This window comes from Homo sapiens, chromosome 12 (assembly GCF_000001405.40).
Source record: "Homo sapiens chromosome 12, GRCh38.p14 Primary Assembly".
In the NCBI taxonomy this organism is placed as follows: domain Eukaryota; kingdom Metazoa; phylum Chordata; class Mammalia; order Primates; family Hominidae; genus Homo; species Homo sapiens.
The window spans coordinates 53,545,361-53,566,082 of NC_000012.12; the positions used below are offsets into that span (position 1 = coordinate 53,545,361).

At 43.7% G+C, this 20,722-nt stretch overlaps 2 protein-coding genes and 1 long non-coding RNA gene across 15 annotated transcripts in view; 1 reads left to right on the top strand and 2 right to left on the bottom strand.

Moving 5' to 3' along the window:
* The window catches only part of ATF7-NPFF (ATF7-NPFF readthrough), a 119,695-nt gene that overhangs the window by 38,673 nt on the left and 60,300 nt on the right, over positions 1–20,722 (bottom strand). For all 3 annotated transcript variants that reach the window (NR_159377.1, NM_001366560.1, NM_001366559.1), the window contains exon 3: positions 7,181–7,277. Coding sequence is in view for 2 of the 3 variants with exons in the window: in NM_001366560.1 (NP_001353489.1) it covers positions 7,181–7,277 (97 nt within the window). In the remaining variant the exon portion in view is untranslated. The remainder of the gene's footprint in view (positions 1–7,180; positions 7,278–20,722) is intronic.
* The window catches only part of ATF7 (activating transcription factor 7), a 118,527-nt gene that overhangs the window by 37,505 nt on the left and 60,300 nt on the right, over positions 1–20,722 (bottom strand). For 9 of the 11 annotated variants that reach the window (NR_073163.2, NM_001130060.2, NM_006856.3 and 6 more), the window contains exon 3: positions 7,181–7,277. The exons of the other annotated variants lie outside the window; for them this stretch is intronic. Coding sequence is in view for 8 of the 9 variants with exons in the window: in NM_001130060.2 (NP_001123532.1) it covers positions 7,181–7,277 (97 nt within the window). In the remaining variant the exon portion in view is untranslated. The remainder of the gene's footprint in view (positions 1–7,180; positions 7,278–20,722) is intronic. 11 annotated transcript variants of the gene reach the window in all.
* Positions 1–20,722, top strand: part of LOC124902937 (uncharacterized) — a 50,712-nt gene that overhangs the window by 9,995 nt on the left and 19,995 nt on the right. The gene's annotated exons all lie outside the window — the stretch shown is intronic.

Genomic DNA, 20,722 nt, shown 5'->3' on the forward strand with positions numbered 1-20,722 from the left:
TCAGGCTGGAGTGCAATGGCGCAATCTCAGCTCACTGCAACCTCCGCCTCACCGTAATCTCTGCCTCCCAAGTTCAAGGGATTCTCCTGCCTCAGCCTCCCAAGTAGCTGGGATTGCAGGCGCGCGCCACTATGCCTGGCTAATTTTGTATTTTTAGTAGAGACGGGGTTTCTCCATGTTGGTCAGGCTGGTCTCGAACTCCCAACCTCAGGTGATCTGCTCTCCTCGGCCTCCCAAAGTGCTGGGATTATAGGCGTGAGCCACCGCGCCTAGCCAAAAAAATCAGTAAGTTTTTACTGAATACTTTCTATATGTTTTGGTGCTACATGCATACACTTGTAGCATGCATATGTTTGGGGGAGGGGAGGGATAGGAATATAGGAGTACTGCCCAGATTTAAGACATGGCTCTTAGGCTGGGGCAGTGGCTAAGGCCTGTAATCCTGGCACTTTGGAAGGCCAAGGCAGGCGGATCCCCCCTTGAGCTCAGGAGTTCAAGACCAGCCTGGGCAACATGGTGAAACTCCATCTCTTCAAAAAATACAAAAATTGGCTGGGTGCGGTGGCTCACGCCTGTAATCCCAACACTATGGGAGGCCGAGGCAAGTGGATCACCTGAGGTCGGGAGTTTGAGACCAGCCTGACCAACATGGAGAAACCCTGTCTCCACTAAAAATACAAAATTAGCCAGGCATGGTGGCGCATGCCTGTAATCTCAGCTACTTGGGAGGCTGAGGCAGGCGAATTGCTTGAACCTGGGAGGCAGAGGTTGCAGTGAGCTGAGATTGCACCATTGCACTCTAGCCTGGGCAACAAGAATGAAACTCCATCTCAAAAAAACAAACAAACAAACAAACAAACAAAAAACAACCAACAAAAATTAACCGGTGTGGTGGTACATGTCTGTGATCCTAGTTTTTTCAGAGATTGGGTTAAGCCTGGGAGGCAGAGGTTGCAGTGAGCCAAGATTGTGCCACTGCAGTTCACCCTAGTGACAGAGCCAGAACCTGTCTCAAAAAAAACAAAAAACAGGAGAAAAAAGAAAATATGGCTTTTGGCTGTTGAAAATTAAGATGATGTTTTCTTTTCTTTCTTTCTTTTTTTTTTTTGAGACAGTCTTGCTTTGTCACCCAGGCTGGAGTGCAGCAATGTGATCTCGGCTCACTGCAACCTCCACCTCCCAGGATCACGTGATTCTCCTGCCTCAGCCTCCCGAGTAGCTGAGATTACAGGTGCATGCCACCATGCCCGGCTAATTTTTTGTATTTTTAGTAGAGACAGGGTTTCACAATGTTGGCCAGGCTGGTCTCAAACTCCTGACCTCAAGTGATCTGCCTGCCTCAGCCTCCCAAAGTGCTGGGATTACAGGCATGAGCCACCGCACCTGGCCTCTTTTTCTTTTTTTTTTCTTTTTTTGAGACAAGATCTCACTTTGCCACCCAGGCGGGAGAGCAGTGACACGATCTCGGCTCACTGCAGCCTCTGCCTCCTAGGCTCAAGTGATCCTCCCACCTCAGCCTCCCAAGTAGCTGGGACCACAGGTGTGCGCCATCATGCCTAACTAATTTTTGTATTTTTTTGTAGAGATGGGGTTTCTTTATGCTGCCCAGGCTGGCTCTTTTTTTTTTTTTTTTTTTTTCCTTGAGACAGAGTCTCTCTCTGTAGCCCAGGCTGGAGTGCAGTGGCATGATCTTGGCTCACTGCAAGCTCCACCTCCCGGGTTCATGCCATTCTCCTGCCTCAGCCTCCCGAGTAGCTGGGACTACAGGCGCCCGCCACCATGCCTGGCTAATTTTTTGTATTTTTAGTAGAGATGGGGTTTCACTGTGTTAGCCAGGATGGTCTCGATCTCCTGACCTTGTGATCCACCCGCCTCAGTGTCCCAAAGTGCTGGGATTACAGGTGTGAGCCACCGTGCCCAGCCTTTTTTTTTTTTTTTTTTTTTGAGACAGAGTCTCACTCTGTTACCTAGTTTGGATGCAGTGGTACAATTTTGGCTCACTGCAACCTCCGCCTCCCGGGTTCAAGTGATTCTCCTGCCTCAGCCTCCCAAGTAGCTGGGATTTCAGGTGTGCACCACCATGCCCAGTTAATTTTTGTATTTTTAGTAGAGACAGGGATTCATCATGTTGACCAGGCTGGTCTTGAACTCCTGACCTCAAGTGATCTGCCCACCTCAGCCTCCCAAAGTGCTGGGATTGTAGGTGTGAGCCACCACACTTGGTCATTTTCTTTTAAGAGACAGTCTTGCTCTGTCACCCAGGCTGGAGTGCAATGGCATGATCATGGTTCACTGAAACCTTGAACTCCTGGGCTCAAGCAATCTTTCTGTCTCAGCCTCCCAAGTAGCTAGGACTACAGGTGTGCACCACCATGCTCGGCTAATTTTATGTATGTATGTATGTATGTATGTATGTATGTATGTATGTATGTATGATGTATTTATTTTTAGATACAGGGTCTCACTCTGTTATCCAGGCTGGAGTGCAGTGGTGTGATTATAGCTATGTATGTATGTATGTATTTTTAAATACAGGGTCTCACTCTGTCGTCACCCAGGCTGGAGGCAGTGGCATAATCACAGCTCACTGCAGCCTCGAACTCCTGAATGCAAGTGATCTCCTACCTCAGCCTCCTGAGTAGCTGGGAGTACAGGTGAGTGCCACCATGCCTAGCTATTTTTTTTGGTAGAGAGGGGGCCTTCATTGTGTTGCCCAGGCTGGTCTTGGACTCCTGGCCTCAAGCAATCATTCTGCCTCTGCTTCCCCAAATGCTGGGATTGTAGGCGTGAGGCACTGTGCCCGGCCTGAGGCTAATTTTTAAAATTTTTTGTTAAGATGGGTCTCATGTTGCCCAGGGCTGGCCTTGAACTCCTGGCCTCAAGCAATCCTCCTACCTGTGCCTTCCAAAGCACTGGGATTACAGGTGTGAGCCACTGTGTCGCTAGGCCCCAGAGAACGTTTTCTTTTTTCTTCTTTCTTTATTCTTTTTTAGAGACAAGGTCTCGATTTGTCATCCAGTGAATGCAGTGGCATGATCATAGCTCACTGTAACCTCAATCTCTTGGGTTCAAGTGATTCTCCTGCCTCAGACTCCCAAGTAGCTGGGACTACGTGCATGCGCCACCACACCTGGCTAATTTTAAAATTTTTTTGTAGAGATGGGGTCTTGCTACGTTGCCCAGGCTGGCCTCTAACTCCTGGGCTCAAGTGATCCTCCTACCTCGGCCTCTCAAAGTGCTGGGATTATAGGTGTCAGCCAGAGTGCTCAGCTGAGAATGCTTTCTAGTTGAGAAAATAAAACTAATATATGTAGAAAGCATCATAGTGTACAAAAATAAGTACTTTGCTGGGCATGGTGGCTCACGCCTCCCAGCACTTTGGAAGGCTGAGGCAAGAGGGTTGCCTGAGGCAAGGAGTTCAAGACCAACTTGGGGAACAAAGCTAGAACCCATCTTTACAAAAAATAAAATAATTAGCTGGGTGTGTGGTGGTGCACATCTGTAGTCCCAGCTACTGGGGAGGGTGAGGTGGGAGGATGGCTTGAGTCCAAGAGTTTGAGGCTGCAGTGAGCTGTGATTGTGCCACTGCACTCCAGCCTGAGCAACAGAGCAAGTCTCTGTCTCCAAAAAATACCCCCCAAAACGGCCGGGCACAGTGGCTTATGCCTGTAATCCCAGCACTTTGGGAGGCTAAGGCAGGCAGATCTCGAGGTCAGGAGATCGAGACCATCCTGGCTAACGCGGTGAAACCCCGTCTCTACTAAAAATACAAAAAAATTAGCCAGGTGTGGCGGCGGGCGCCTGTAGTCCCAGCTACTCGGGAGGCTGAGGCAGGAGAATGGCATGAACCCGGGAAGCGCAGCTTGCAATGAGCGGAGATCGCGCCACTGCACTCCAGCCTGGGCGACAGAACGAGACTCCGTCTCAAAAAAAAAAAAGAAAGAAAAAAATACCCCCCAAAACAAAAAAAAAACAAATTCAAACTTGGGTGAATGCCATGGTGCTAGGTTATAAAGAGCCTGAAAATCCAGGTATAAATAGCCCTTTCTTTTTTTTTTTCAAGACAGAGTTTTGCTCTTATTGCCCAGGCTGGAGTGCAATGGCACAATCTTGGCTCACCACAACCTCCGCCTCCTGAGTTCAAGCGACTCTCCTGCTTCAGCCTCCCAAGTATCTGGGATTACAGGCATGCACCACCATGCCAGGCTAATTTTGTATTTTTTTTGTTTGTTTTTTTGAGATGGAGTCTTGCTCTGTCACCCAGGTTGGAGTGCAGTGGTGTGATCTCAGCTTACTGCAACCTCTGCCTCCCAGGTTCAAGTGATTCTCCTGCCTCAGCCTCAGCCTGCCGAGTAGCTGGGACTACAGGCGCTCGCCACCACGCCTGGCTAATTTTTGTATTTTTAGTAGAGACGGGGTTTCACTCTGTTGGCCAGGCTTGTCTCGAACTCCTGATCTTGTGATATGCCTGCCTCAGCCTCCCAAAGTGCTGGAATTATGGGCGTGAGCCAACATGCCCGGCTAATTTTGTATTTTTAGTAGAGACGGGGTTTCACCTCGTTAGTGAGACTGGTCTCGAACTCCTGACCTCAGGTGATCCATTTGCCTTAGCCTTCTAAAGTGCTGAAATTACAGGCGTGAGCCACCGCGTCCAGCCTTAAATAGCTTTAAAGAGAAAAGGGCCCAGGGGGGCGGCTCACGCCTGTAATCCCAGCACTTTGGAAGGCCGAGGCAGGTGGATCATTCGAGGCCAGGAGTTCAAGACCAGCCTGGCCAACATGGTGAAATCCCGTCTCTACTAAAAATACAAAAATTAGCCGATCGGTAGTGGTGCGCGCCTACAATCCCAGCTACTCAGGAGACTGAGGCAGGAGAATCGCTTGAGCCTGGGAGGGGGAGGTTGTGGTGAGCCGAGATTACGCCACTGCACTCCAGTCTGGGCAACAGAGTGAGACCCTGTCTCAAAAAAAAAAATAAATAAATAAATAAATAAATAAATAAATAAATAATAAATATAAATAAATAAAGAGAAAACAGGAAAATAATGATAGATTTTGACTAGAAGAGTAGAATTTAAGGAAGACTGGCTTTTCAATAGTATGTATGCAACATGGATTAGAATGAGAGACTAATCAAGGAGGCCAGCTAGGAGACTTTGGAGGAATCCAAGCATAAAGAAGGTGATGGCAGGGAGAATAGGAAGGAATAGAATAGAAAGAATTTGAAGAATAAAACAACTCAAGATTTTGAGAATACTGATATTAATGAATAACAAAGGAGAAGGAGCTGGTTTAGGAGACAAGGAGGTTAAGTTCAGTCATTGACATAAAGACTTGAAAGGCAGCCAAGTAAGTGTTCACATAAGGGGTTGGGATACATATGACACACCAGGTCTTAACTGGAGATGTGAGAATTACCAGCGTAGATATATGATAGCTGAAGTCATGTGCAACAAGATGAGCATTCCAGAACTGAAAGCAAATAGTAATAGGAGAACATGTTTTCTCCTTGAGACCATCCTGGAGCAAGTTCTCTTACCACCCCTGGAGACTTGGTATAGACCCTTCTACCCATTTGGAATAACCTCTCCAACTTTATAACCTTGCCCCAAATTTACCTCTCAGATAAACTTCCTCTGATTAATTCTACTTAATATTAACTCATTTAGTATTCATAGTTTGTAGTATTCACTTATACTTGTCTGCAAATACTACAATTTTTTTATGAATATATGCCCTGAATTAATTATGTCTGACCTATATGTATACCCTATCCACTATTCCCTAAGATCTCCCCCAGGTTTTCCTTTTGTTTTTAGAGACAGGGTCTTGCTTTGTAGTCTAGGCTAGAGTGCAGTAGCACGGTCATAGCACACTATAACCTCAAACTCCTGGGCTCAAGCTATCTTCCCACCTCAGCCTCCCAAGTAGCTAGGACTATAGCCATGCATCATCACATTTAGCTAATTTTTAAACATTTTTTGTAGAGACAAGGTCTCTCTATGCTGCTCAGGCTGGTCTCGAACTCCCAGCCTCAAGCAATCCTCCTGCCTTGGCCTCCCAAAGCATTGGGATTACAGGCATGAGCCACCACACCTGATCTTCCCCCAGGTTTTCTTAGGGATCATTGACGACAATGTTCCCATTTATGTCTTGTTCCTAAGGATTACAAATCTACAAGCTCCTAGCAAATGTGCCTGGTGTATACAGTAGATATGAAATAAATATCTGCTGAATTAATGAGGAATAGGAGGTCTGTAAAGGCAAGTGGTAAGTCCCTTTCATCATGTATGGAAGTATGATGAGGAAGTTCTGTCTCTCCTTCTCCATGTCTATGGTAGCATTTTGGCTAGTAATACTTGAGAAACTGTGTCTTATATGAGTTATTAACTAATGTAATAACCACCAACTAAACACCCTAGGAATTAAATATTGAATTAAGCTTGCTTAGATTGAGGTAAATCAGAACCTCTCATGGATCAAAAGAAAAAGCTCACTTTGGTTTGTATGTCTGCCTAGCTGAAAATGGTACAGCAGAATTGCTGCCTGGTTTGAGAGCAGTTGCTAAGAGGGCTCCCTTGAGAATGGCATATACAAGCAAGACAGTATCTAAAACAACTGCTGAGAGGTTCCAGGTCACCCAAATTGGCTTAGAAAAGTCCCACTGACTAAATGTCTTGTTTGAGCTTTGGAAATGTGCCCTCAATGGTGTCTGGGTTCACAAGGGAAGTTGAATTTATGAACTGACAATCTGCCTGCTGGAGGAAAGCTGACACCCAGTGGAAGAGAAGCAACCAGGCTAGATTGGCTTTTTTTTGCATTCTTTTGTTCACCCCTTTGCTGTGGGTAGGCAAAAATGTCAAAGGGATCTTTTGTCTGTAAATCTTTCAAAGTCTTAATAAATAGAAAGAAAGACGGTAATAGACCGAAAAAAAACTAAGACGAAACCTCAACACACCTACCTTCAAAAACCACAGAACACAACCTTGTTATTAAAAATAGAGTGGAGGGTACAAGAGAAACTTGGGAGCTTTTAGTGTTCCTTTTTCCTGATTAAATGCAGATCACATAAGGGCTCTTAATGGGAGAAAGGGAGTACAGCTCCCAGTACATCTGGTCTCTGGTATTAATCTTAACTGCCTGGTGGTATCAAGGCACGTGGCTTTTGGGGCAGCAAATACCTGCAATGATGACTGAGTCAGTTCGGGCTGGGCCAAATTTCAATGTCATCTCATGCTTGTGTTTATGAACTGCCAGGTGGTCCTCGTTTGTAAATCTCTGAAACGAAACAGAAATGGAGATATGAAAAAACAAAAACAAAAACCCGATTCGGTGCCCTTTTAAAATGTCCTACCAAACATCTTGCAATGAGATTGGTCCCTGGAAAGAAGAACTGGAGAGGGAGAAAAAACTGGAAGAGGAGAAGAGATGGAGAAAAAAGGGTGCTAGAACGCAGGGAGAAGAGGAGATGGGGAAGACCACAACACCAACTGCTCTGTAATATCAGGTCCAAACAACAGAAGTGGACAGATTGTTGGTAAAGTGGGGTCCAAGTAGGAGGCTCCAAATGAAAAAAACATTAAGGCAAACTCGTATTGAACAAGGGGAAGCAATTTTTAATAATAATAATAGAGAAGGGAAGGGCTGGGCACTAGTTGGCCATCACAAAAATAGGAAATTGAGAATGAAGCCCTCCATGGTAGGGCTGAATTGGACTCTTTTATGAGGGCGCTAACAGGGAGATAAATTATGCAGGATTAGGAGAACCATTTAACTTCTTGGCCCCTACAGTGCTGCAGCAGGCGCCTGCATGGCTATTTGGCTCAGAGTTTTAATGAGCCAGGATGGAGCTGTAGAGGACCAAGGCGCAATGGCCAGCAATAATGGCACATACCAGCCCCATCGGCCAAATGCTGTCTCCCCTCATCGGGCAGCCCGCCTGGGCTCCATCAGCCATAAAAAGGCCAGTACAATGCTGATGACTATATAATGGTAGAATAAAAATGCCAGGAAAAAATATTTTTTTAGGGGTAGGGAGGAGCCTGTAGGCAGGATGAGGGAAGAGAAAGGGAGATGGTATAGAGATTTTATTTTTTTGGGATTTGGGTGAAAGGACAATGAAGAAAAGTGGGCTAACTCTATCCAGTTTATGATTAAGTAAAATAGGGTTACTGGACAATAATTTATGCTCCTACCCCTTCTTAAAAGGGGGAGAGTGAAGGGAACAGATGAACAGCAGTAATTCAAAAGAATAATATTCTCAAAAGTCCCTTTGAGGCTCCTGGCCATATTCCTTCATTAAAACATGACTGCAACACAGTAACAGCCCGGATGCTGCAGTTTTCCACAGCTCCTTCACACTGAGGCTCTGAAACATGGTTCCGTTTGTCTTTTTGCTTCTAAAAATGGTGATTGGTTAGTCGTCTCTTTTTACTTTCTTCATCACGTGTATACTTCTCACCAAATACTATACGTTTAGCCTTCTTTTCCAAAGCTCTTCTTGACTGCAAACAAAATACACGGGAGTTGGCCCCATCCAGCTCCTACCTGTCAGGAAAGCAATACCAAACTGTTTCTACTACTTTATTTTACCTGAATTTACAACTAAAGCCAATTTAAGATCCAAAATCCCAGGCTGGTCGCGATGGCTCATGCCTGTAATTGCAGCACTTTGGGAGGCTGAGGTGGACAGATTGCTTGAGGCCAGGAGTTCAAGACCAGACTGGGTAATCTGGCAAAAACCCATTTCTATACAAAAATGTTTTATTTTTATTTATTTATTTATCTTTGAGACGGAGTCTTGCTCTGTCGCCCAGGCTGGAGTGCAGTGGCGCAATCTCCGCTCACTGCAACCTCTGCTGCCCATGTTCAAGCAATTCTCCTGTCTCAGCCTCCTGAGTAGCTGGGACTACAGGCGCATGCCACCATGCCCGGCTAATTTTTGTATTTTTAGTAGAGATGGGGTTTCACCATATTGGTCAGGGTGGTCTTGAACTCCTGACCTCAGGTGATCCACTCACCTTGGCCTCCCAAAGTGCTGGTATTACAGGCATGAGCCACCATGCCCAGCAACAGAAAACTTTTAAATTAGCTGGGTGTGGTGATGCTCACCTGTAGTTCCAGCTACTCAGGAGGCTGAGGTGGGGGGAGCCCAGGAGGTTGAGGCTGTAGTGAGCCATGATTACACCACTGTACTCCAGTGAGACCCTTTCTCAAAAAAGGGCCAGGTGCGGTGGCTGATGCCTGTAATCCCAGCACTTTGGGAGGCCTAGGTGGGTGGATCACTTAAGGTAAGGAGTTCGAGGCCAGCATGACCAACATGGCAAAACCCCATCTCTACAAAAAACACAAAAATTAGCTGGGCATGGTGGCGGGTGCTTGTAATCCTACCTACTTGGGAGACTGAGGCACGAGAATTGCTTGAACCCGGGAGGTGGAGTTTGCAGTGAGCCGAGATCCCACCACTAAGCTCCAGCCTGGGTGACAGAGGAAGACCTTGTCTCAAAAAAAGAAAAAAAAAAAAAAAAAAAAAAAAGACAGCCTCAGTGGTTTCTGATTGATCTAGGACAAAAACTGAATAAAATGTGGAAAAATTTAACCAAGAACTTTAGTTTTCTCTATTGTTGGTAAACTCCAGGCACCATCTTTTTCAGTTACAGATGTTTCCGTAAGAAAAAAGTGGCCGGGAGTGGTGGCTCATGCTTGTAATCCCAGCACTGGGAGGCTGAGGCAGGTGGATCACCTGAGGTCAGGAGTTCGAGACCAGACTGGCCAACATGATGAAACCCCATCTCTACTAAAAATACAGAATTAGCCGGGCATGGTGGCACATGCCTATACTCCTAGCTACTCGGGGGGCTGGGGCTGAGGCAGGAGAATCGCTTGAACCAGGTAGACGGAGGTTGCAGTGAGCCGAGATTGCGCCATTGCACTCCAGCCTGGGCAACAACAGTGAAACTCCATCTCAAAAAAAAAAAAAGAGTGAGGGTTTGGGGGAAGGAGGGAATAGTGTATTAACCAGGGGTATGATATTTGTAGGTTAAACAAGTCACTGTAGAGGGTCTGGGATTGCCAGGTATTTGGTAAGAGGAAATAAGCAGAACCTAGTTTATAAAGAAGAAAATAATATAATTTTTTTTTTTTTTTTTTTTTTTTTTTTGTGAGACGGAGTCTCGCTCTGTTGCCCAGGCTGGAGTGCAGTGGTGCAATGGCACGATCTCAGCTCACTGCAACCTCCATCTCCCGAGTTCAAGTGATTCTCCTGCCCTAGCCTCCCAAGTAGCTGGGATTACAGGCATGCGTCACCACGCCCGGCTAATTTTGTATTTTTGATAGAGAAGGGGTTTCTACATGTTGGTCAGGCTGGTCTCGAATTCCCGACCTCAGGTGATCCGCCTGCCTTGACCTCCCAAAGTGCTAGAATTATAGGTGTGAGCCATCATGCCCCGTCTTTTTTTGTTTTGTTTTGTTTTTGAGACAGAGTTTTGCTCTTGTTGCCCAGGCTGGAGTCCAATGGCGCAATCTTGGCTCACTGCAACCTCCACCTCCCGGGTTCAAGCGATTCTCCTGTCTCAGCCTCCTGCATAGCTGGGATTACAGGTGCCTGCTACCACACTTGGCTAATTTTTGTATTTTTAGTACAGATGGGATTTCACCATGTTGGCCAAGCTGGTCTTGAACTCCCGACCTCAGGTGATCCACCCACCTCGACCTCCCAAAATGCTGGAATTACAGGTGTGAGCCACTGCACCCAGCCAAAAAATATAATTTTAAGGAGATATGACAAGTAGTAGCTTATGCAGGGCTGTAAGTTTTCAAAATGTACTTACGATGTTGGCCAGTGCAGTGGCCCGGCCTTTTTATCATATATTTTTGAAAACCGTATTATAATATCATTAATTTCTCTTGTAATCCTATGTATTTCATGAATTTAAAAATATTACTCTAGGCTGGGCATGGTGGCGCATACCTGTAACCCTAGCACATTGGGATGCCGAGGCAGGTGGATCGCTTGAGCGCAGGAGTTTGAGACCAGCCAGGGCAACATGGCAAAACCTATTTTTAATACAATTCTTATCTTATATGCCTAGGGGGAGAATAAAAGTTTACTGAAGCTTTCTGTCAAAGTGATCGCCAGGCCAGGTGCAGAATGGCTTGAACCCAGGAGGTGGAGGTTGCAGTGAGCCAAGATCGTGCCATTGCACTCCAATCTGGGCAACAAGAGCAAGACTCCATCTCAAAAAAACAACGAAAAAAACCAAAGTGATTGCTAATCTGGCTATGTTTTACATAGTCCTTATATTTTCTCTCACTTATTAAGAGTTAACACTTCAGAAATTCTCTAGGATACTCAGTCCCAGTTGTCCTATCCTTGGCCACAGCTGGGGTGAGTGGGCCTAAGCCAGGGGGCTGTGGGTGCTTGGTACGCCCTTACTCATGGCAAGGGAATGGTGGGATGGACCCCCATAAGAAAAAAAGAAATTCTCTAGATTAGTCATAAACTTCATTCATAGGAAACCATCCCTCTGAAAGCAATTTCTCAATTAAAATAGCTAAAATTATTATCATAGTATTTTTTTAATAAGATGGGATCTCATTATGTTGCCCAGGCTGTTCTTGAACTCCTGGGCTCAAATGAGTCTCCTGCCTCAGCTTCCTGAGTAGCTGGAACTACAGGTGCACACCATAGTGCCTGGCTAAAAATAGCTAAAGTGTTACTAAGTGATAAAAATCGTGACCTAAGTAAAAATATATTCTATTTAATTAAAATGGGTGAAGGGACTCCCCAAAATATTTCCTTTTTAAATTATTCCCCATTAAAAAATCTAGTTCCCTTATTTGTTTGTTTTCTTGTTTGTTTGAGACAGGGTCTTGCTCTGTTGCCCAGGCTGGAGTGCAGTGGCACGATCTTGGCTCATTGCAACCTCTGCCCTCCAGACTTACGCAATCCCCCCACCCCAGCCTCCCGAGTAGCTGGGACTACAGGCATGCACCACCATGTTCAGGCAATTTTTGTATTTTTTGTAGAGACAGGGTTTCACCATGTTGCCCAGGCTGGTCTTGAACTCCTGAGCCCAAGTGATCTGCCAGCCTTGGCTTTTCCAAGTGTGGAGATTTACAGGTGTGAGCCACCCTGCCCAGCCCCTCGTTTGTTAATACCCTTAAAGGATCTTCCTTTGTTCTTTGGCATTACCTATGTCTAAGGTTTTGGCAAATAGCCACTCACTCAGGGAACACACTTGCCCTCACTGTAGGGTAAATATAATAACCATCTCCAAGGCAGCAGAAGGCTTAATACAAAATCAGGACAGTTTCTCTCCTCTCCTTTATGCCAAGACTAATTTGCACCCCCATCTGAAGACTAAGATCATCTAGATCTGCACTATCTGATATGGTAGCGACTAGCCACACATAGCTATTGAGTACTTGCAATGTGGCTAGTCTGAATTGAAATGTACTGAAAATCAAAACACACACTGGATTTCAAAGACTTAGTAAAATATCTTGTTAATAATTTTTATGTTGATTACATGTCAAAATGATACTATTTTGGATATACCAGGTTAAATAAAATATATTATTACAATTAGTTCCACTTGTTTACTTTCACTTTTTAATGTAACTACTAGAAAATCAAAACTTACCTATGTGGCTCACGTTTGTGGTTTGCATTGTATTTCTTTTGGACAGCTCTAATCTAGATAATATGCTCCAAGATCCCACGGGAATTTTAATCATGTACCAATCTTAAATCTTCCTCCCTAAATCCATTTTCTTTAAATGCAGTTTAGAGTATGTGGCAGTGGTTCTCAACCAGAGGTAACTCTGTCCCCCATGGGACATTTGACAATGTTTGGAGACATTTTTGTTTGTCACAACTGGGAGGATGCTACTGGCCTCTAGAAGGTAGAGGCCTGAGATGCTGATAAATATTGTATGGTGCACAGGACAGCCTCCCAAAACAAAGAACTGCATAACTCAAAATATCAGTTGTGTTTGTTGAGAAACCCTGATACAGAGTAACAGGGGAAGAGAAAAAGAAATAAGAAAAAAAGCTGCTTTTTAGTTTCCTTTTCCAAACTGCCAACACATGTTTTTAGACCTGAAACTTGGAAGAAAAAAAGCACAGGCAAAAAACTTCCAGCCTCATTTTATAAAATGGCTGATGGACTCCAGATCTGCAAATACTTAGGATAGGAAAATTAGGAAGATGGAGACAGAAGGCACTGTATTTGGGAGAACAGACTGAATGGAATTCTCATGCACTGCCTTGTTAGTAACAAAAAGATAATATAGAAGAAGCTAATCAAAACAATTTTGGCTACTTTTGATTTTTACTCCCTTATGAAGAAAAAAAGTAGCAAGAAAGAAGATTCTTTTCATTTAAGAAATACTAAGAAGCATAAAATAGAATGTCAGGACTATGAGGAAGTCAATCTGAAAACTGATACTACCTCCAGAATGGACAGGGAAAGTACATTTCCTATTAACAATTAACTTTCCATGAGACATCTTTGGTAAAAACTCTTTCCATTTCTAGTAAGTTTTACTCTCACCTATCCTTCTGTAATAGGAGAATCTAGAATCTCTCCTCCTCACAAACTTACTAAATGAACAGAGCTAAGTAAAGAGTTAGGATGGGCTGGGCGCAGTGGCTCACACCTGTAACCCCAACACTCTGGGAGGCCGAGGTTGGAGGATGGCTTGAGCCCAAGAGTTCAAGACCAGCCTGGGCAACATCGTTAAGACCTTGTCTCTATTTAAAAAAAAAAAAAAAGGAATGGCCTGAAGAACACAGATGGTGGAAACTGTAAATAAGGAATAAATCTCAATGAATAAAGTCTTAAGATTTTTTTACTTTTTTCTTTTTCTTTTTTCTTTTTTTTAGAGATGGGGGTCCCATTACGTTGCCCAGCTGGTCTCAAACTCGTGGGCTCAAAAGCAGTCCTCCTGCCTCAGCCTTCCAAAGTGCTGGGATTACAGGCATGAGCCACCATGCCTGGCCCTTTAAGACTGAGGTATAAAATACAGAAAATGGGCTGGGTGCAGTGGCTCACATCCTTAATCCCAGCACTTTGGGAGGCAGAGGTGGGCAGATCACTTGAGGTCAGGAGATCGAGACCAGCCTGGCCAACACGGTGAAACCCTGTCTCTACAAGAAATACAAAAATCAGCTGCGTGTGGAGGCGCGTGCCTGTAGTCCCAGCTACTCGGGAGGCTGAGGCACGAGAATCACTTGAACCTGGGAGGCAGAGGTTGCAGTGAGCCAAGATCATGCCACTGCACTCCAGCCTGGGTGACAGAGTGAGACTCCATCTCAAAAAAAAAAAAAAAAAAGCAAAAATCCTTAGTGTACATCTCAATGAATTTTTAATTTTTAAATTTGCATAAACCTGTGTAATCACTACCCAGTTCAAGGCATGAAACATTTCAGACATCACTGAAGCCTCCCATATATTCCTGTTTTCTTAAGCTTTTAAGTGAAATAATTATATAAAACAGTACAGTACCTTGGACACAGCACATATTCAACTAGTTCCCTCCTCTTTACTTTTTTAAAATTTTACTTATTTATTTATTGAGATGGAGTTTCGCTCTTGTTGCCCAGGCTGGAGTGCAATGGTGTGATCTCGGCTCACCGCAACCTCCGCCTCCTGGGTTCAAGTGATTCTTCTGCCTCAGCCTCCCAAGTAGCTGGAATTACAGGCACCTGCCACCACACCCGGCTAATTTTTTGTGTTTTTAGTAGAGACAGGGTTTCACCATGTTGGCCAGGTTGGTCTTGAACTCCTGACCTCATGATCCACCCGCCTTGGCCTCCTAAAGTGCTGGGATTACAGGCATGAGCCACCGCACCCGGCCTCCTCTTTACTTTTTTAAATTTCAAGAGAGACAGGTATTATAGTAAAAAAGTGACTTTTTTTTTTTGCAGGATAATTCTAAACAAGTAAATGCCTAGAGATACTGCAGTTCTTTTCCTAACCTCATTTAACCTATTCTCTAGACGTATTTTGAAATAGCAGCACTGAACAGACCCGAAAAGAAGGCTCAGAGCAAATGAGACGTAAGGCCAAACTAAAACTAAATTTTTGGCTTTTGACTCTGAGCCAGGCACAAGCATACGGGGATTAGGAATCTAACAGTTTCAAGCTAACTCCTTGGTAAAGCATTGTGACCAATGAAATTTCTCTGCAATATGCACTCAACTCCTAGCCAGATACATTCCTGAAATGTTGCTTTTGGCCACCACAGCACCCGTTTTCATGAGGATTTGCCTCACATTTAAAAACGCTCTTAATATCCTGACCTATGATGAATTCATGTCCCTTTCCTTGTTTTAGAAGAGTAGACTGGGGTAAGAAGACAATCAGAACTCTTTAGTTATTAGGAAATGAGCCCTGAGTGTGTAAACTATCAAGAAATAATACAAGGAACTGAGTTTACATTTGTGATAGTCTGAAAAGTAATTTATGCTGAAACCTAACTACCCCTTTTCTCCAAAGTTTCTGGGTTTGGCAGTACTTCATGGACAGAATTGCTTTCTTTTAATTCAGTATCTATACTTGGGCTTGGTTTTTTCTTTTCTTTCTTTTTTTTTTTTTTTTACACAGGGTCTCACTCTGTAGCTCAGGCTGGAGTGCAGTGATGTGATCTTAGATCACTGTAACCTCAAACTCTTAGACTCAAGCAATCTTCCCACCTCAGCCTACCAAGTAGCTGGGACTACAGGTTCGCACCACCATGGGCTATTGTTTTGTTTACTTTAGAGATGGGGTGTTGCTATGTTGCCCAGGCTGACTGCAAACTCTTGGCCTCAAGTGATCATCCCACCTCAGCCTTCCAAAGAGCTGGGTTTATCTGCACCCATATACTTGGGGGCGTATTTTGATGAAAGGAAATAGTATGAAAAAGTCACAGAAGACAGCACCACTGCACTCCAGCCTGGTCAACAGAGTAAGACTGTCTCTTTAAAAAAAAAAAAAAAAAAAGTCATAGAAAACTTGAGAAAAACTATGAGGAGTAAGTTCTAGAATAGTGATGCTGGTGCTGAGCAGGTGAAGGAAGAAATAACTGATCTTTTTTTTGAACACTATTTAATTAATCACTTCAAGTGATCACATATTCTGAAAGAAGAAACTGGAAGATCTGTAAAAGTCTTGACAAGGCTTCTTGCCCTCACTGCAGTGCTTCTGTTCCCAATGTCAGACATCATTTAAGTTTGGGAAAGCAGGGAAAGGGAGAAGAAGGAAGGGATTAAATACACACATACTTCAAACCAAACATAACTTTCATTTCTACCTTGGTCAATCCTAGGCTCCTGCTCTCTACTTCAAGATGTTTAGCCAATGATGGGAAATAAATAAATAAAAGGAAAAAAAAGATGCTACTGTTTGCTATGTGAGTCACACATCCTGCTTTGAATGTTTCATGGCTCTTAAATGAATCATTTCAAAGTACAGGATTGTTCAACAAATAAAATACAACCACAGCAACAGTAGCTCATATGCTGCATGTGTGAGCGACATAATTTATAGAGGAAAAACAAGAACAGAAAACTTTCCCCCAAAATACTCAAAGATAAAATGTTGTCAGGGGAATGAAGGAGGACAAACTAAACAGAGGAGCGGGGACAACCCACCAAACTGTACCTAAGGTAAATTCATTTGTCTATGGATTGAGGAATTTTCTGTTTTGGGAAGGCTGTTGGAATATCTTAAAGATTCTGGCAGCTTAACAAATAAGTCCACTGTATAAAGAAAAGGAATTTTGAAAGCAGAGATATTATTTGATAGTTGGTCTAGCTGCCATGCTGCTGCTACAATGTAAGCTCCTCAAGAACAAGGATCTCTCCATTTGCTTGTTCATGGACAAATCCCAAGCACCTAGAACGGTATCTGTACACAGTAGGTGCTTAATATTTGTTGAATAAATGCCAACTAGCACGTCTCACTAAAGTGCTACAAAGCAACCCCAACCTACAAAACTTTTGCCCATGTAGGCCGGGCACGGTGGCTCACGCCTGTAATCCCAGCACTTTGAGAGGCCGAGGCGGGCAGATCACCTGAGGTCAGGAATTCAAGACCAGCCTGGCCAACATGGTGAAACCCCGTCTCTACTTAAAAAATACAAAAAATTAGCTGGGTGTGGTGGTACGCACCTGTAATCCCAGCTACTCGGGAGGCTGAGGCAGGAGAATCACTTGAACCCAGAAGGCCGGTGAGCCGAGATTGTGCCACTGCACTCCAGCCTGGGGGACAAGAGCGAAACTTCATCTCAAAAAAAAAAAAATTTTTTTTTGCCCATGTGTGCAATGGTGGGACAATTTTCATCATCCATATCCAAAAGGAGAGTTGGTATCTATCTTAAACACCAGCTTTTTCCTACGGAACCAGAGGCTGGGCCCAGTCAGGACCAAGAATACCCTAATGCAAGGATGCAAGAAGATCAGAGTAAGAAACAAATAGAATTTCAAAAATTGTAACCACAGGAAAAAGACAAAATGGCAGCAATGGGGATTTAAATCATTAGGAAGGATTTGACTCTTGGGGGTGGGGTGGGTTTGAAATCATTCCCAAAGGAGATTTTAAAGGAATGTAAAATACATTACCTTTCTGTCCTCTTGTCCTTGTTTATGATTTTATTTTCTGCTATTCTTCTACTAACACTTTCTACCCAGGTCAGTCTCTTACTGATCTGCGAAGTCTATTTATTTTCAATTTTGTGCCTCCACACACATTCCCATATTCCTTGAAATGTGTTCCTCTCTCCATTGTTTACTGGAATACTACCATTTTTCTAGGCCCAGCTGAAATCCAATAGCTTTTTGAAAGCTTCTCTAATGACTCCAATCTTCAGTGATCTATCTTTCTTGAACTTGTATAGTATTCAAATGGAAATTTATTTATATAATTATACATATAGAATTTTAGTCTATATGGTCTCACAATTTTTATCTTTTTAAAGTAGACTGTATGGGCAGGCGCAGTGGCTCACACCTGTAATCCCAGCACTCTGGGAGGCTGAGGCGGGAGAATTGCTTGACCCCAAGAGTTTGAGACCAGTCTGGGCAACAAGGTGAAACCCCACCTCTACCGAAAAGAAAAAAAAAAAATTAGCCAGGTGTGGTGGTGTGTGCCTGTAGTCCCAACTAGGAAGGCTGAGGTGGGAGGGATCACTTGAACTGGAGGCAGAGGTTGCAGTGAGCCAAGATTGTGCCATCGCACTCCAGCCTGGGCAACAGAACAAGGATGTCTCAAACAAAGTAGACTGTAAACTACTAGAGGGTTAAAAACATGTCTCACACTTATTTTTTATCCTTTTCACCTGCCCCACCTCTGGGCTTGCCCAGTTTGGCACTCAATAAATTATTGCTTCAGTGATTGGGTAAAGTTTTATATAGTGACATAAGAGTAACTGTTGAAAAGCTTTATCACTCTTGGATTCTCAGACCTTAACATGGCACACTTTCAGAAAGATCTGATGGCTTTCCAACTCCATTTGCAAAGTAAATTTCACTGTTCAAATCAGTGAGAATTAGTGTATCCTCTTGCCTACTTTTTTTGATACCAGATTCCCTTTATTACAGAAAGGCACCTAAGACAATTACAGTATGCTAGAGTTATACTGCTGTTGTATGAAAGGACACTGGTGCCATGGTCTTTGTGGGTCAATTCACTTTCTTAGGGTATCTGATTCCAGCACTGAATTTTATTACCAATTAAAATGTCCTGTGAGGCCAGATACAGTGGCTTATGCCTGTAATCCAGCACTTTGGGAGGCTGAGGTGGGCAGATCACTTGAGGCTAGGCGTTTGAGACCAGCCTGGCCAACATGGCAAAACCCTGTCTCTACTAAAAATATAAAAATTAGCTGGACATGGTGGTGCATGCCTGATAATCCCAGTTACTTGGGTGGCTGAGGCACAAGAATCACCTGAACCCAGGAAGTGGAGGGTGCAGTGAGCTGAGATCACACAACTGCATTCCAGCCTGGGCGACAGAGCAAGACTCTGTTTCAAAATATAAACTAAACTCAACTAAAATACCTTGTGCAAAAAAATGTGAATTTACAAGCCATTCCCTTTTAAGTTCCTTCTTCAATCCCCAAACCACTAGTGGTAATTTTAACCACATCCTTTTGAGCATTTTCTTTTAAGATCTCAATTATTTGAATTTTACAGGCAGAATATGAGCATATGAGCATCTCATAGGTGTCAAACAGTGTCAAGAACTGGATTCCTCCTTTAAAAAATCGTACACTCCAGTATCTGACAAAAGGAAAAGTATGTTACAATTAAATCAACAAGCTAGTTAGAGGGGAACAGAAAAAGAATTTTAAACCCATAGTCAACACTGAGTTGTTGGGTCTTCATCGTTATGATCTGGGTTTAATAGCAATGCATTATTATTCTACATCAAACTTGTCCAACCTTTGGCCTGCAGACCACATGCAGCCCGGAATGGCTTTCAACATGGCCCAACATAAATTCGTAAGCTTTCTTAAAACATTATCAGATTTTTTGGCGATTTTTTTTTTGTTTAGTTCATCAGCTATTGTTGGCGTTAGTATATTTTTATGTGTGGCCCAAGACAATTCTTCTTCCAATGTGGCCCAGGGAAGCCAAAAGATTGTACACCTCTGTTTTACATTATACAGACCAATGGTATAACTATTCCTCTAAGTACCTAAGTTTTAAGCCCTCAGCCATACTGCAATACTTGCTTCTATTTTGGTTCCTTGTTCCTTCCTCCTGACAAATGTGAAAATTCATGAGCCCCATGGGTCAAGTCTTCTGCCAAGTAAGTTGCAGGTGCCCAATAAATCACAGCAAAAAGGAAACTGAGCTCCAAAGGTCATTTAGGCCAACTCCATCAGGGATTGGGCAATGTAGGAAAGAGGGTGGTAAATATAATTTCTTACCAGTTTGGGTTAAAAAAGATTAGTTTTTTTTTTTCAAATGTTACTTATTATTTGATGGGATTGAGAAATACAACCTCATCATAGGTATAGATATACTTAGCCAAAGTCCTGGTCATCTCAGTTTCTGCTATGTGATTCCTAAACACCATAGTCAAGCAGAAAGTATAATTCTTTGCTCTTTCTTCTCTCACACTCTCTTTTTCTGGGCGGGGGCGGGGGGGAGGGGGGCAGGGGGCAGAGTCTTACTTCATCACCCAGACTGGAGTATAGTGGCATGATATTGGCTAACTGCAACCTCTGCCTCCCAGGTTCAAGTGATTCTCGTACTTCGGCCTCCTGAGTAGCTGGGATTACAGGTGTGTGCTACCACACCCGGATAATTTTTATAGTTTTAGTAGAGATGGGGTTTCACCATATTGGCCAGGCTGGTCTCAAACTCCTAACCTCAAGTGATCCACCTGCCTCAGCTTCCCAAAGTGCTGGGATTACAGGTGTGAGCCCCTGTGCCTGGCCCCCTTCTCTTTTTAATAGTACTCTCTTATGACTTTTTTCAATAAGGCTATTGTATCAGCCTGTTCTCTCGCTGCTAATAACGACATACCCAAGACTGGGTAATTTATAAAGGAAAGAGGTTTTATGGACTCACAGTTCCACATGGCTGGGGAGGTCTCACAATCATGGCGGGAGGCAAAGGAGAAGCAGAGTCACATCTTACATGGCAGTAGGCAAGAAGAGCATGTGCAGGGGAACTCCCCTTTATAAAACCATCAGATCTAGTGAGATTTATTCACTATCAATGAGAG